Genomic DNA, 15,829 nt, shown 5'->3' on the forward strand with positions numbered 1-15,829 from the left:
GTTGCTACATGTTATCCCACTTAATCAGTAATCCCATAATCACATGAGACTATTATTTTCATGTAGGGGGCGGGGGATGTTTCTCTTCCGCAGAAGGATGTTACCTTCAAGGGACAGGTATTACAAAGATGTTGAATTAATTTTCAATTATTTGGGCTTCTTAATCGTATCTGGGCTTTTGGATCTCATATTTTAGTTTTAAAACCCCATCAGTTTATAGTTAATAACATAAGTTTACAAGTGTAATAACTCAAAAATTTATTTCATTTAGTTGTATAAAATATGATTGGCTTATTCCACATGCAACCATTTAGTTAAAAAAATTGAGACATTACATTTCATTTTAAAGCTCATCTTTGTTACTTTCTTTGAACCTGAAAATCCTTAATCTGTTACTCTAAAAAAATCTTCACTGAGATATGACTGGCCTCACCACACTGGTCTATGTGAATTTGCTGACTTTTAAGGACATTATAGTCAGAGCCAAGGTAGACAAGCTATGAAGTATGTGTGCTCTCACATTTACATATTTATACAACTAGAAGAGTATTTGCAAAGTTTTAATATTTGGATCACTTTAAAAACTATTAGAACGTATTAGAAAAACTATTAGAACATATTAGAAAATGATTAAAACATATTAGAAAAACTGTTCACGTGTGGGGGGGTGGCTCACGCCTGTAGTAATCCCAGCACTTTGGGAGCCTGAGGCGGGTGGATCACAAGGTCAAGAGATTGAGACCATCCTGGCTAACACAGTGAAACCCTGTCTCTACTAAAAATACAAAAAAAATAGCTGGGCGTAGTGGCGGGCGCCTGTTGTCCCAGCTACTCGGGAGGCTGAGGCAGGAGAATGGCCTGAACCTGGGAGGCGGAGCTTGCAGTGAGCCAAGATCAAGCCACTGCACTCCAGCCTGGGCGAGAGCGAGACTCGGTCTCAAAAAAAAGAAAAACTATTCACGTGCATAAAATATACTAGAAACTACATGTTTTCTATCAATAGACTCCATTTTTTGCTGCACCTATACCAAACTGTCTCTTGCCCCTGTGGTCTGTGTGTGCATCTTAATGCTTACTGTTCACATTTACTTGTTAGTTTCTCTTTATAAACACTGTGGTATCAGAATATCTACTCTTTGAGTATTTGAGGGTTCTAATTAGAGAACATTCGCTGAGCATCTACTTTGTTCAAGCCATTGTGCTGGTTGCTGTGGAGATATGGAAATAATAGAACACTGTCTCACTCAATATATTTATCTTAAATGTAAAAAAGATAATGTTAACATTGTGTTGGCAAGGCTTGTGAAAGAGGGAAGCTGTTCCAATTAAAATAACAAGAATAGCTAAAAGAAAAACATTTACAAATTAAAAACTAACTTTTGATTAGACTTTCGTTAAGAAAGTTCCCTTCAGTTAACTATTTATATTATTTTACAATGCTTTTTGCCTAATGGTACAAGAAAAATAGGATTCCTTTATTTTTAAAATACATTTTCAGATATCTTCCAGTCTACAAAGTTAAAGTTGGGAAGTTTTGTTAAAATTAATATATGAAGTCTTTGTTCAAGAGTCTCTAAACTGGGTTTCTGGGAAATTAAATATACGTTTGGGCTCACTTTTTTTTTTTTTAAATCTTAACCAGGGTTTGTCTTGAACTCCTAACCTCAAGTGATCCTCCCGCTGAGCCCACTTTTTAAAAGGGATGTAGCCATGCAAATTCTGGAAACTGTAGAAATAATTAAAATAGATATAAATATATATTTATATTCACTTTCCAGAAGTCTTTACAACATTTGTGGGGATAGGTTATTAAGTGGTTTTCTACAGTGATGTCATTGTTCGATGGCAGAAATTAAGAGGCCACATCACAAAAACACTGTCCAGGTCTTTGCTTGGCAGAAACTGAGCAGGGAACTGCTTTCAATAACATCATAAAAGATAGTGTTTTCCTTTATGGAGCAGCAGGAGCCGTGGTGGGATGATTTAGAAGGTCTTTCATGGAAATACCAGAGAGTTAGCAGCGAGCTATGGGAAGACATAGTCAGAGGCCGTGAAACCTGGACCCGGTGTCACACTGTAGTCATTAGAAGAGGAGTAAAGTGGAGGACAATAATGGAACAGGCAGAGCTGGGGCAATTTCAGTGGTGAGGGTCGGTGTTTGATTTGGAAGTGGAGTCTCATCTGGGATCCACCACTCCCTTTATTTGCTAAGAGACTTTAAGAAATTAACAGCCTCTCTGAGCCTTAGTTTCTTCATATCTAAAATGAAAGTAATGATATTCACCTGACAGCATAATTAAGAAGATTAAATTCAATAAAGCAGACATACCCTCCAGCATATTCCTTTTGCAGAGCATTTTCCACATCCATTTTCTTGACTGATCCTCAACCTCCTTTGGAGTAGTGTTACTATTAGGTCCTGGATCTAGCTCCATGTTAAAGATGAGAAAACTAAGGCACAAAGCTGTTACTTGCCTGAGATCACAGACCTAGTAAGTGGCAGAGCAAGGACTTAGACTGAAATCCTGATTCTAGTTTCTGTGCTTGAGAAAAGTCTGCTTAATGCTTCCGAGTGCCAAGTCACACCAGCCAGGCCCAGCTCCCAGGATTGCACAGAGAAAAAGAACTCTTAATGACTACATTATTTGACCCTTTGATAAGGGTAAACAAATATTTCAATAGGTGTCACCTGCAAAAGAATCAGTGAAAGAGGTGTATCAGAAAACCTTGCTTAGATGTCAGCTTTTCTCCAACTTGATAAACATCCCAACATTAACTTATCGCCACCATAGAGTGTCAGAATAAATAGTATACCTGTGACTTTGAAGATAGGGAAACCAAAGCCCAGATGGCAAATGTGAAAGGACTTGCTTTATCAAACTGGTGGAGTCCCAGAAGTTGCAAATCATCCCCTTCATGAACGGTTTCCAAGAAAAGCATTCTATACTTAGGAAATCATCCTCTTCAAGAACAGTTTCCAAGAAAAGCATTCTATACTTAAGAAATTAAATCTAAATTAAGAAAATAAAGAACACTCACAACTAAAAGCTATCTTTAAAGAAAAAAAAAATGGCTATTGTTTTCCTGAGACCTCCCACATGTTGGGAAATAACTTACAGTGAGGCAGTTTCCTTGTGGTGTAGTCTGAACTCTTGAATAGCTGGCTGTGTATGGATTGCGGCAGTCACCATAACAATGGGCTCATCTTAAAACGTTCATTTAGATTCATTATTGGAACTGTGAGCAGTGAGAAAGGAATGGTCTCTCAGGACCGTAAGGGGTTTGCTTACAGCTCTTCTTAGTTGCTCCAGCCTAGCTATTTGTAACTCAAACAGCTAAGACACATGCCACAATTTTAAGAAACAGGATAACTCACCAGGAGGAATGTGCTTAAAGTCTTATAAAAAGAATAACAAAAGCAAGATAAATCTGGAAAAGTATAAGTAGTAAACAGAATTGGTTGTCTGGAGTTTAGTCACTAAGCAAAAATATAATAAGATGCTTGAAGTAAAGTTTGAAAATGAGGGAGGAATCTCTTTAAAAGGATAACTACCAGGTGAACATTGGAAGCCTGGCCTCCGTTCCAGACCATAAGATCCTTTTTTTGTCTTTCAACTTGGAGCCAACACTAAATTCATGTCCAGTGCACTTGTATTCACTAATGGAATGTCCTGTTTCTTGGTGGAAGTTTACACACTGGGCTTTAGAAACATGTAGAGGCATTTGTAGATTCCCGCTAACTGAATAGGTGGCAAGTGTTTTAGGCAAAGGTGAGTTTGTTGGAAATTCACTTCTAGGGTATTTGTATTAATGGGTAGAATTATTTGGATTGAATTTGCCAATAAAAAGACAAAGTAACTGAATGAATTTTTTCTTTTTTTTTTTCTTTTTTTTTTTTCAGACAGAGAGTATTGCTCTGTCACCCAGGCTGGAGTGCAATGGCACAATCTCGGCTCACTAAAACCTCCACCTCCCATGTCCAAGCAGTTCTTCTGCCTGTATCCTGTATCTGGGATTACAGGCATATGCCACCCTACCTGGCTAATTTTTGTATTTTTAGTAGAGATGAGGTTTCACCATGTTGGTCACGCTGGTCTTGAACTCCTGACCTCAGGTGATCCACCCATCTCAGCCTCCCAAAGTGCTGAGATTACAGGCATGAGCCACCATGCCCAGCCATGAATTTTTTTTTAAGACCCAACAGTATGCTGCCTACAAGAGTCACCTCACTTTTAAGGACACCCATAGACTGAAAGTGAAAAGTTGGAAAAAGATACTCCATGCAAATAGAAACCAAAAGAAAGCAGGGATAGCTAAACTTATATCAGACAAAATAGACTTTAAGTCAAAAACTGTAAAAAGAGACATTATATAATGATAAGAGCATCAATTCATCAAGAGGATATAACAGTTATATATGCACCCAACATTGAAACACCTAAATACATAAAATATTGAAGGATCTGAAGGGAGGGATAAATTGCAATACAATAATAGTAGGAGACTTTAATACTCTACAGATAATCCAGACAGAAAATTAATAAACATTGGGCTTGAACAATACTGTAGACCAAATGGACCTAACTGACGTTTCATCCAACAGCAACTGTATACACATCCTTCTCAAGCATACATGGAACATTCTCCAGGATAGATCAAATGTTAAGGCACAACACAAGCCTCAGCAAATTTTAGAAGCCTGAAATTATATCAAGTATCTTTTCAGACCACAGTGTTAAGAAACTAGAAATCAATGCCAGAAGGAATTTTGGAAAATTCACGAATACATGGAAATAAAAAACATACTTCTGAACAACAAATGGGTCAGTGAAGAAATTAAATGGAAATTAAAAAATATTTTGAGGCAAATGGAAACACAACTTATTAAAATGTATGGGATACGGCCAGGCACAGTGGCTCACACCTGTAATCCCAGCACTTTGGGAGGCTGAGGTGAGCAGATCATGAGGTCAAGAGATGGAGACCATCCTGGCTAATAGGGTAAAACCCCTTCTCTACTAAAAATACAAAAAATTAGCTGGGTGTGGTGACGGGTGCCTGTAGTCCCAGGTACTCGGGAGGCTGAGGCAGGAGAATGGTGTGAACCCAGGAGGCGGAGCTTGCAGTGAGCCAAGATCATGCCACTGCAGTCTAGCCTGGGTGACAGAGTGAGACTCCTTCTAAAAAAAAAAAAAAAAAAAAAAAAAAAAAATGGATACAGCACAAGTAGTTCTAAAAGCAAAGTTTAAAGCAATAAACACCTACATCAAAAAGCAAGAGAGATCCCAACGTAACATTATACCTCACGGAACTGGGGGGAGGGAGAAACTAAGCCCAAAGTTAGCAGAAGGAAGGAAACAAGATGAAAACAGAAATAATTGAAGGAGACTAGAAAAACAGTACAAAGATCAACAAAACTAAGAGTTGTTTTTCTGAAAAGATAAAAATCAACAAATCTTTAGTTACACCAAGAAGACACAAAATCAGAAAAAAAGATTACAGCAAATACCCCAGAAATACACAGGAACATTTGAGACTATTAGGAACAAATATATGCCAACAAATTGGATAACCTAGAAGAAATGTATAAATTTCTAGATACATGCAACTTATCAAGACTGAAGAAATAGAAAATCCAACAGACCAATGGGTAAGGAGATGAAATCAATAAGTTTTCCATCAAAGAAAACCCTAGGGCCTGATGGCTTCATGGCTGAACTCTACCAAATATTTAAAGAACTAATACCAATCCTTCTCAGATTCTTTCAAAAAGGTAAATGAGGAGGGAATACTTCCAAACTCTTTTTTGCAAGGCCAGCATCATCCTCATATCAAAGGCAGGCAAGGCCATTACAAATAATAATAATAATAAATTACAGGCCAATATCCTTTATGAACATAGATGTAAAAATCCCCAGTATAATGCTAGCAAACCCAATTCAACAACACATTAAAGGATCATCCACCATGATCAAGTAGGATTTATCCCTGGGACGCAAGGATGATTCAGCATACCCAAATCGACAAATGTGATACATCATTAACAGAATGAAGGCCAAAAACCATATAATTATCTCATTAGATGCAAAGAAAGTGTTTGACAAAATTGACAAGTTTATTGCTGGGTTATTTTTCAGTTCTAAATAGCAATAATAATAATAGCTAACTCCTACTGTGCACTAACTTCATGCCAGGTGTGTTTTAAGCACTTCACAGGTATTAACTCAGTACTACTCAGATAGAGTTCCGTTAATTTTATTTTCTTTTTTAATTATCAGCCAAATCGCTTATTGATTTGGTTTCATTTCTGCTATTTTTTTCTTTGTCTGTCCATTGACTCTAAGCCATAAATTTTTATGCAATTTTAATCTGATTATCATTTCCTCTTAAGTTTTTTGAGGATTGGTTTCATTTTGCTAGAAGAACCTTGTGAGACCTTCTTCCTCCATTCCCCTTCAAAGACTCTTGTTAGTTTCAGTCAACCAAAATGTGATAATGTCTAAGTAAACTGGTCATTTTCAAGTTTCTGTAACAGTAAGCCTCTTGATGATTATGTTAATGTTAACAAATAGGAAGAAAACATCCCAGATTCTTAATAGAAGAAATCAGGTTTGTCATACAGAGATGAAAACTCAAGACAGACCACCAAATTATTTAAATGTTAGTTTGTGATAAAGTGGGCTACATCCAAAAAAAATTCCTCAAGAAAACAAGTAGGCATGCCACAAAACTGGGAGAAAATATTCTCAACACATATATCTGGCTAAGGACTTAGATCCAGATCACATAACAAGGCCCTGCAAATTAATAAAAGTCAAGCGAATTGCAAATTAAAGATAGGCAAAAGACTTGTACATATTATTCACAGAAGAAGGTACATGAACAACCAGTAAGCACGTGAAAAGATGCGCAGCATCTTTCAGCATCACAGAAATGCAGTCGTGGTACCATTCGCACCCTCTAGGATAGCTAAAATAGAAAAGACTGACGATCAATGTTGAAGAGGATGTGGTGCAACTCAGACTCTCGTGCGCAAAGGGATCCAATCTCTTGAGAAAACTGTTTCTTGTGAAGTTAACTACAGAACTACTCTGTGACCCAGCACTTCCTTGTATTTACCCAGAAAAATAACTTAAGTTCTCAAAATTTGAACAAAAACATTCATAACATTCTTATTAATAGCATTTTTATTATACGAAACCTCCAAACTGGAAATAACCCGAATGTCCATCGAAAAGAAAATGGAGGAATTAAGGTATAGTTATAAGGAACTACTACCGAATAGCTCGATAACATGAGTGAATCTCATAGGCACAAGGGAGTGTGTTCTGCATGATTCCATTTATATGAACTCCTAGTATAAGCAAAATTAATTACAGAATTAGAAGTCATTATAGTGTCTACCTCTTGGGGTGGAGGTGGGATATCTTGAGGGGATGCGTTTGTAATGTATCCAGTTGTCAAAAAATCATCCTGCTGGAAAATTTACATTTTGTTTGCTCAGTTTTTAATTGTTTCCATTTTAGAATGTTAACTTTGTTCTTGGGACCAAAAACATAGACCTATTTGTATTATGACATCTTCTGATTTATAGTCTAAATCAGGGGTCCCCAACCCCCAGGCCGGGTACCAGTACTGGTGAGTGGCCTATTAGGAACCAGGCCGCACAGCAGGAAGTGATTGACAAGCAGGAACGTTACTGCCTGAGCTCTGCCTCCTGTCAGATCAGTAAGGCATTAGATTCCCACAGAAGCATGAAGCGTATTGTGAACTGTGTATACGAGGGATCTAGGTTGTGCACTCCTCATGCGGATCTAACACCTGATGACCTGAGGTGGAACAATTTCACTTTGAAACTACCCCTGTCCGTGGAAAACTTGTCCTCCACAAAACCAGTCCCTGGTGCCCAAAAGGTTGGGGACCGCTGACCTAAATTATTAAAATTTAGTGAGATGCATCCTTACTACTTAAAATGTCAGCTGCATTTCTAGTCAGTGCCTTATCTCCTTCTGTCAAAGTTCGAGTCACTGGATTTTATATTGTTTCATTCAAAGTGTGTTGGAATACCCTTTTTATGGTTGGAATACAGATTGAGAGAAGTACATTTTTATATCATCTTTGTTATAAGAGTGAATGTGAATATAAACCAAGAGTGAATGGAGTGAATCTAAACCAAGATTCTTCTAGAGACAACAGTGTTGCTATAAATTAATTAACTAGGACTCTTCTTTTCCTGAAGGTGTACAAGGGAGAAGAAGCCACATTCCAAATCTCAGGCCTCCAGACCAACACAGACTACAGGTTCCGCGTATGTGCGTGTCGTCGCTGTTTAGACACCTCTCAGGAGCTAAGCGGAGCCTTCAGCCCCTCTGCGGCTTTTGTATTACAACGAAGTGAGGTCATGCTTACAGGGGACATGGGGAGCTTAGATGATCCCAAAATGAAGAGCATGATGCCTACTGATGAACAGTTTGCAGCCATCATTGTGCTTGGCTTTGCAACTTTGTCCATTTTATTTGCCTTTATATTACAGTACTTCTTAATGAAGTAAACCCAACAAAACTAGAGGTATGAATTAATGCTACACATTTTAATACACACATTTATTCAGATACTCCCCTTTTTAAAGCCCTTTTGTTTTTTGATTTATATACTCTGTTTTACAGATTTAGCTAGAAAAAAAATGTCAGTGTTTTGGTGCACCTTTTTGAAATGCAAAACTAGGAAAAGGTTAAACTGGATTTTTTTTTTTAAAAAAAAGAAAAAAAAAGAAGAAAAGTATACCAGATACCAAAAGCTAGCTTTCTTATGTTTTCCTTTAAATTTTCAGATTTACCTTCATTCTGTTTTCACTGATGTCTTTTGCAAGCCTTTGATTTTTTTTTTTTTGTTACAGTTTAGTAATTTATATTCACCAGTCACTTCATATGTCTTGAACATCTGTATCTGTAAACATGAATCACCGTGTGTGTACTTACAGGGCTAGGATTTCAGTGTTGTCAGAGTATTACCACACAGCAACAGCAACATACAGAAGATATGTTCACTCAGATAAGACTGCCCTAAACAACCATTTTGTCACTCAGTTATTTAACTGTGTTTAGCTCATTTAAATCAAAATGTGTACTTTAATCTAAAATGTTTTAATAATCTGTATTTCTTATAATTTTAACACTATGAGCTGCCTGTATAAGAAATCAAGTAACCAGAATGCACCTATAAATTATGGAGCATTGTAGATTTTACCACATCAATTCATAGCAGTAACTTTAAGAGGGCATTGTGCAATAGTTAGTTGTTTTCTTGTTCAGCTATTTTAAAGGCTGCTTTAACTTGTTTGTTTGTCTTTGTATATAACTACTTCTAATCTAATCACTAGAGTTATTATATTCTGTTATGTTTGACCAGAATTATATGACAAGAACTGGTGACAGTTTAGTGCCTCTGCCCATTGTCCATGATTTACACTAATTGTGAGCAGTCTTCTTATGTGTCAGCTCATTATTTTTGAAACATTTGCCTTTAGGCTGTTCTTTGAGGTATCAATGAAGTGATTGAATTTCAATACCTTAATTCAGTGCACATAATACTAATGTAACAGCAGATGAAAATTGATAAAACCCAAAAGAGAGTCATCTAAATTTGTAGTTCCTATTTCTGTGGGTTTGCCTGGCCATGGTTGGAGAGGGAATGGTGTTTGATGGTAAACACAGGGTGTTTGGGGATCAAGGAGCCTAGATTCTCTCCCTGGATCTGTCACTAACTTGCTGCGTGACCTGAACACGTCACTTTACCTCTCTGTGCCTCAGTTTTCCCATGCATGAAAAATAAAATAAAATAAAACGGGGATTCTAATGTTTGTAAGTGCTTTGAGATCTTTGACCAACAGGTGCTATTGGAGTGCAAAGTGTTACTCTTACGTGTTTATTTTGAGTCATGAGATAATCAATTTTAACCCAAAGTCATTGGATTATTTATATGAAGTCCATAATGTTCGAGTACCTCAGGGACATTTAAGAGTTGGAGGTGCAAATATATTCCAAAAGGGTGCAACAGACACAGTGTATCCCCCTGCTTCTGTTTTTGTATATTTTTGCTACTTGGTTTTTCTTGATCATAGCTATTTTGTGCTTGATCTTTATTGTCTAAGATGCAGTATCCTGTACTAGCTTATAATATTCCCATACCAAAGTCATGGGGAAACAAACATTATTTTGTTTTTGGTTTATTTATACTATATTCTGCATACAGTACTTTAAATGCCAATTACAGTGCAATCTTTATTTATTGTAAAATTTTTTAAGTGTACTTATGTACTAATTTTCCCTTGTAGCATGTTATATTTTTGTGTTTTATACTTTTGTAATTTTAGGTCAGTCTTGTTCCTTGGCAACATCTGTAGTATTATTAATCTTCTGACATTTTCTTATGTTTTTAAAAAGATAAGAGCATCTAGTGCATTAAATGCCAAAAAAAAAATACATTATCAGTGATTGAAACGTTTACATGTACCCAAAAACCATAATCATCTCTTGGAAGAAAATGCTGAGATCAATGAATTATTCTGTGTGCCTATATTGACGTAGTGAGTACTAGAGAGTTCTGTATTTTATTATTGACTATAATAATTAGTTTAATTAGCTTTGCAAACTGATGGCATCAAGGTAAATATATTTTTGCCAAAGTTCTGGCCTTCCAAAACTCACCCCCTTATTTAAATGTGTGCTATGACCCACTATGACCACAGCATCTGCATTTTCTAAAAAATTCCATGCAGGTGTTTTGGGGAGAGGTATTTTTTAAGCAATGAAAATTCAACTGAGTACAAAGCCCCCTCTTGGGGGGTTGGGGAAGTCTCTTTTTTGAAACACTTCAGAACTGCTGCTATAAAGAAATTCTCTAATTGGTTGAATTTTTTTTTTAAGTAAATAGTACTTTAGGCCAAAATTTATATGAATATTTGATCTTCTTGAGATTTTCATACTATCATTTAACCACCAGGAAGCTGAAGTGTGTGAAGTACAAAGCTGACAGCACTTTATTTTATTGCTCTCCATTATTTGGTATTCATTATATTCCTTCAGTCAGAAAATTATTACTCTCTATGGCACTGTTTTTTATCACAAATATGTATATGTGATATTGATATATAACTATATATATTGCCATCACACACGAACAATAAAATAAAGTGTTCTATTAACCTGATCTCTTTGCCCTTTTGCTATGTGAGGAGTGAATGAGTGGCCTTCTGATGCTCTGACTCTTCTCTGTATGTCAAACTCATCCCTGGCACAAGAAATTCCAGTCATGTGAAGCAAACTGCCCTTTGTCCTCAAAGAAATTGTTGAAAAAGAAAACTTTTTAAAGAGATTTTTTGCATATTCTCTGCCTTGTTCTTATCAACTTGAAATGTTGGCATTTTCTAACCTTGTTTTGTTGGCTACAATAATTCAGTATTCATGTCAAAATTGAGAAGTGCCCTAATTGAATGTGTTTGAATGTTATCCTTGCACAATTCTTTAAATTGAAAGATAAAATGTTTTACCTCACTGTTGGACATACATTCCAAGCTTTTCAACTCTAGGAGAAAAAGAAAATCATGTTTTCCTGTATTGTAAATTTTAGACTATTTCATATACATTGTATTAAAACTGCCATATCAATTTTAATGTATAGATTTTGCAAATATTATGCTATATGTAATACCTAACTGTATCTGTAGTGTATATGTAATATATTTATGCCCAATAAATGTTTTAATTCTTTCTGACTTAAATAGGGTTTTTCTGCCATGACTAGGATTGCTTTTGTTGTTGTTGTTGTTGTTTCTTTCTTTTTTTTTTTTTTTGAGACGGAGTCTTGCTCTGTCGCCAGGCTGGAGTGCAGTGGCGCGATCTCAGCTCACTGCAACCTCCAGCTCCCAGGTTCAAGTGATTCCCCTGCCTCAGCCTCCCAAGTAGCTGGGGATTACAGGCACTCGCCACCATGCCCGGATAATTTTTTTTTTTTTTTTGAGTTGGAGTCTTGCTCTGTCGCCCAGGCTGGAGTGCAGTGACCCAATCTCGGCTCACTGCAAGCTCCACCTCCCGGGTTCATGCCATTCTCCTGCCTCAGCCTCCCAAGTAGCTGGGACTACAGGTGCCCGCCACCACGCCCGGCTAATTTTTTTAATTTTAGTAGAGTCGGGGTTTCACCATGTTGGCCAAGATGGTCTCGATCTGACCTCGTGATCTGCCCGCCTCGGCCTCCCAAAGTGCTGGGATTACAGGTGTGAGCCCCCGCACCCAGCCTTATTCTTCCCTTTTAAATACTTAAAGCACATTCAGATTAGTTGAAAATTCACGTGTTTTTGGAGGCCAGGCAGGTGGCCTTCTGCAGAGACAGCAGCAGCTCAGCTCTTGCTGACCAAGGCCTTGGAGGACTGTGAGCCACAATCACATATGTCCATGTTTCAAAAGAAGCTAAATATCCAGATTTCCTCCATGGGCCAACTAAAAGGTGATTGTGGACTATACAGGCTGCCAGTTTAATCCTTTATCAGAGTCTCTGTGGATAATGTACCTTGTTGCCTAATACTTTATCTGTCTACCAAAACTCAGTCCAGATCTCCCTCTGTTCACCTGGCACACTGGGTGCTTCCTCTCCCCTGACGAACTCTATAGAGTGTTCATGTCCTTTCCTGCAGGTCTCATTCAACAACAACAACAACAACAGCAATAAAACACAGTGTTCCTGCTATGGCCATGGTTTTGTGATTTTAGATTGTCTTAGTAGGAATTCCCACTATCTCTTTTATTTTTCAGGAAAATGGGTAAAAAAAACTGTCACTTTATTGAACCTCACTTATATGAAGCATGGTAATTATTCTGGGTAAAGATGACAAATTGAGCACATCAAATTTTGAATGCTCCTGACACCACTAAAAGTAAAGGATTTTTTATTTTTTTAAGTCACAACTCAACCCTCAAGACTGGGAAGAAAGAGGAGTTATTGGCACCAGAATTTTGGAAATATGATCAACAAAACTTAATTCTAATTTGGCAGAGGAGAAAATGAGCATCAGTGTTTTTATTCTCAATGCAGGATACCCTAAAGGCTCAAAAATTGACAGCAACATATCCCTTTGAAGTGATAGTGAAGAGAGAGAGGAGGCTAAAATAGTATTGGTTGAAAGCTGTTTAAAATGCAGTTAGATCAATAAAATCCCTCCCCCTTTTTTTTTTCAGCTGGACAAAAATGTCCCTCCTCCCCACCCACCTCCATCACTCTTGCAGAAGCCTAGAGGTGTATCCTCAGGAGAAGGTTCAAATAGAAAGTCCCTGGACTGGGAGACACGATCCACAGTTGAGAATGAAGGCACCATATCAAAAGCAAATTAGTGAACATAGGCTTATGGAAGAACATTACAAAGAGCCTCATGGGCTGGGAACAACAAAAAAGAAATCTAAAAATCTAAAAATCTTCAATGAAATGGTTCAGCCAGAGCACTCTTGGGTAGTACTTTTCAACCTGTACATTAATATCACCTAGAGAGCTTTTCAAAATTCTCGTACCCTACACCAATAAAATGAGTATTGCAGAGGCATCAGTATTTTTTAACACTCCCCAGGCGCTTTCACTGTGTATATGAAATTGAGAACCATTGCTGAAAAGTGAAACTCTCAGTCAGCAATCCCCTATCAGCTTTTTAGTCTTTCATCTTAACCAAGGATAACCTGATATCTGATGAAAGTGTCTAACGTGGATGAAAAGCCCAAAACCAACAACTTGGAAGAATCAGAGACTACATGGAGAAGAAGCTTCAAAAACCTGTCATATCTCCAGAGAGATGAGAAAAGAAAAGGCATCTGTAGAATAAAGATAGACTACTATAGAAAAGGAACTGTTAACAAGAAAATGTTCTTGGAAATTAAACATTCGGTAGCATGGTTGGAAGCTGAAATTTAGCAAATAACCTGAAAATTTGAGGAAAAAAGAAAGGAAAAGATTAGGATCAGACCAGGACCATTCAATATCCAAGTAATAGGAACTCCAGAAAGAACAGAAAGTGGAAGAGAGGAAATCGTTAAACACATGAGTTTCTAGAATAATAGGGTATGGGAGCACACAACACAATGGATGAAAATAGGACTTGTACTAAGGCTCGCCATCTTGAAGTTTCAACACTAGAGAACCTCCCCAACATGAAAAGCTGGTCACATAGAAGGATTGGGAATCAAGCGTGGCGTTAGACATAAGCAGTTGCTTCAAGATTTTGAAAGAAATATAATAGATTTCTCGCCTGCCTACTCTCAGTCAAGTGTAAGCTACCACGAAGACATTTTTTAAACTGGAAACTCCCACAAGTTTGTCTCTCATGCACCTTTTCTCAGGAAGCTACTGGAGGATAAGCTTTCCCATATAAGTGAATGAATCAAAGAAACATCTATGAGATTCTGTTTCCAGTGCTTTTTATTTAGGTCAGAAGTTGGCTCTCTGACCCTATGCCACGAGAGGATTTATGCAACTATCACGTTCTTACCCTTTCCCCATCCCCAATTGACCTGAGTGCACACATACATTTCCCTAAACAGGAGGAGTGTAAAAATGAGCCTTTTAAACAAATCTCTCAGGGTATTTTGCCTTGAGCCAATTAAAATCAATAGTTAAATTTGTCTACAGATACCCTTTATTCAGGGTGACAACTGAAAAATAATTCCCACCTCCACTGCTAGACTAGTACCTCAAAAGCTGGGGGAAGGGAGTGTGTGCATGGGGCAGCAAGCCTCATTTTAACTTTGCAGCATCTAGCACATTTTCTGGCCCATATTAGAAGCTAAAAAAGATTTGTTGAATTGAACTCACCTAATTTGGTAACCAAAGTTGGCAGAACAGTGATGTGATCCATAGACTTGCTGCTTCAACCCATAATCTTTCCCCTCAAGTGTGTTATTTTCAGTGCAATACTTTCTTTTTTAATGAAGTAGTTGTCAATATTTTAAAATTTGGAAATTTTACATAAAATACTGGAATTCCAGATTCTACTGAAAGTTGGAAGACCTGGCAACTCTAGGTCTTGTTCTGACACGGAGGTTATCCATGGAGATGAATATTGGCTGCCTTTGCTGGTTGGGGCATTTTGTTCTGCTCTTGATCACATTTTTCACTAAATCTCTGGCATGGATATGGATGTTATCTTTTCTGATATCTCCATCAAAGGTGAGTAAACATGGACAGGACATCCACAATGATGGAATGAGGACCTCCATAAATCCACTTCTCCATAAAAACAACAAAAACACTAGCAAAAAAGTACCAGAATCAACTTTTCTAGAACTTTGGAAATTAACCGCAGGTTTGCATCCATCTGAACCTTGGTACGAACAGCTGGTTTTGTGGCATTTTAACTCAATCTGCTCCATCCTAGCTCTCTGAAGCTCCACCGTAGTCTTGGAATCAGCACCCCTGCAGCAAGGAGAGGGAGCATACTCAGTTTGGAGCTCCTCAAAACGTCTCCTCCCCAGAGCATTGTCACTGTTTATCGTACCTCACAGCTGCCTGGAAAAGGTGCCATTTGTAGGGTGTTATTTAAACTGACTGGCAGCTGCTCCATGGGAAAAGCCTAATACCCAGGGTACTTGTTGGAAAATAATCAGTGCAGTTGTTTAACCCAGTAGCTGCCTAGGCTGTAGTACCAGTTGAAGTAAATAAATAGGCTAAAAACTTGAAGATCGGGGGAATGAAATGTCCATAGGAGGCTTTTCAAAGTTTCTGACATGGTCGTGGGGATCTAGCAGACCATATGCATGTGCACGGCTGTGCCCGGACTCAGAAGATGGAGAACGCC

At 37.7% G+C, this 15,829-nt stretch overlaps 1 protein-coding gene across 10 annotated transcripts in view; it reads left to right on the plus strand.

Annotated features, from left to right (window-relative positions):
• FNDC3B (fibronectin type III domain containing 3B) overlaps positions 1-12,745 on the plus strand; it is a 362,092-nt gene extending 349,347 nt beyond the window's left edge. For all 10 annotated transcript variants that reach the window (NM_022763.4, XM_017007062.2, XM_024453717.2 and 7 more), the window contains one exon: positions 8,240-12,745. In NM_022763.4, the coding sequence (NP_073600.3) occupies positions 8,240-8,551 (312 nt within the window). In that variant the 3' untranslated portion in view covers positions 8,552-12,745. The remainder of the gene's footprint in view (positions 1-8,239) is intronic.
• The last annotated feature ends 3,084 nt before the right edge of the window (positions 12,746-15,829 follow it).

This window comes from Homo sapiens, chromosome 3 (genome assembly GCF_000001405.40).
Source record: "Homo sapiens chromosome 3, GRCh38.p14 Primary Assembly".
In the NCBI taxonomy this organism is placed as follows: domain Eukaryota; kingdom Metazoa; phylum Chordata; class Mammalia; order Primates; family Hominidae; genus Homo; species Homo sapiens.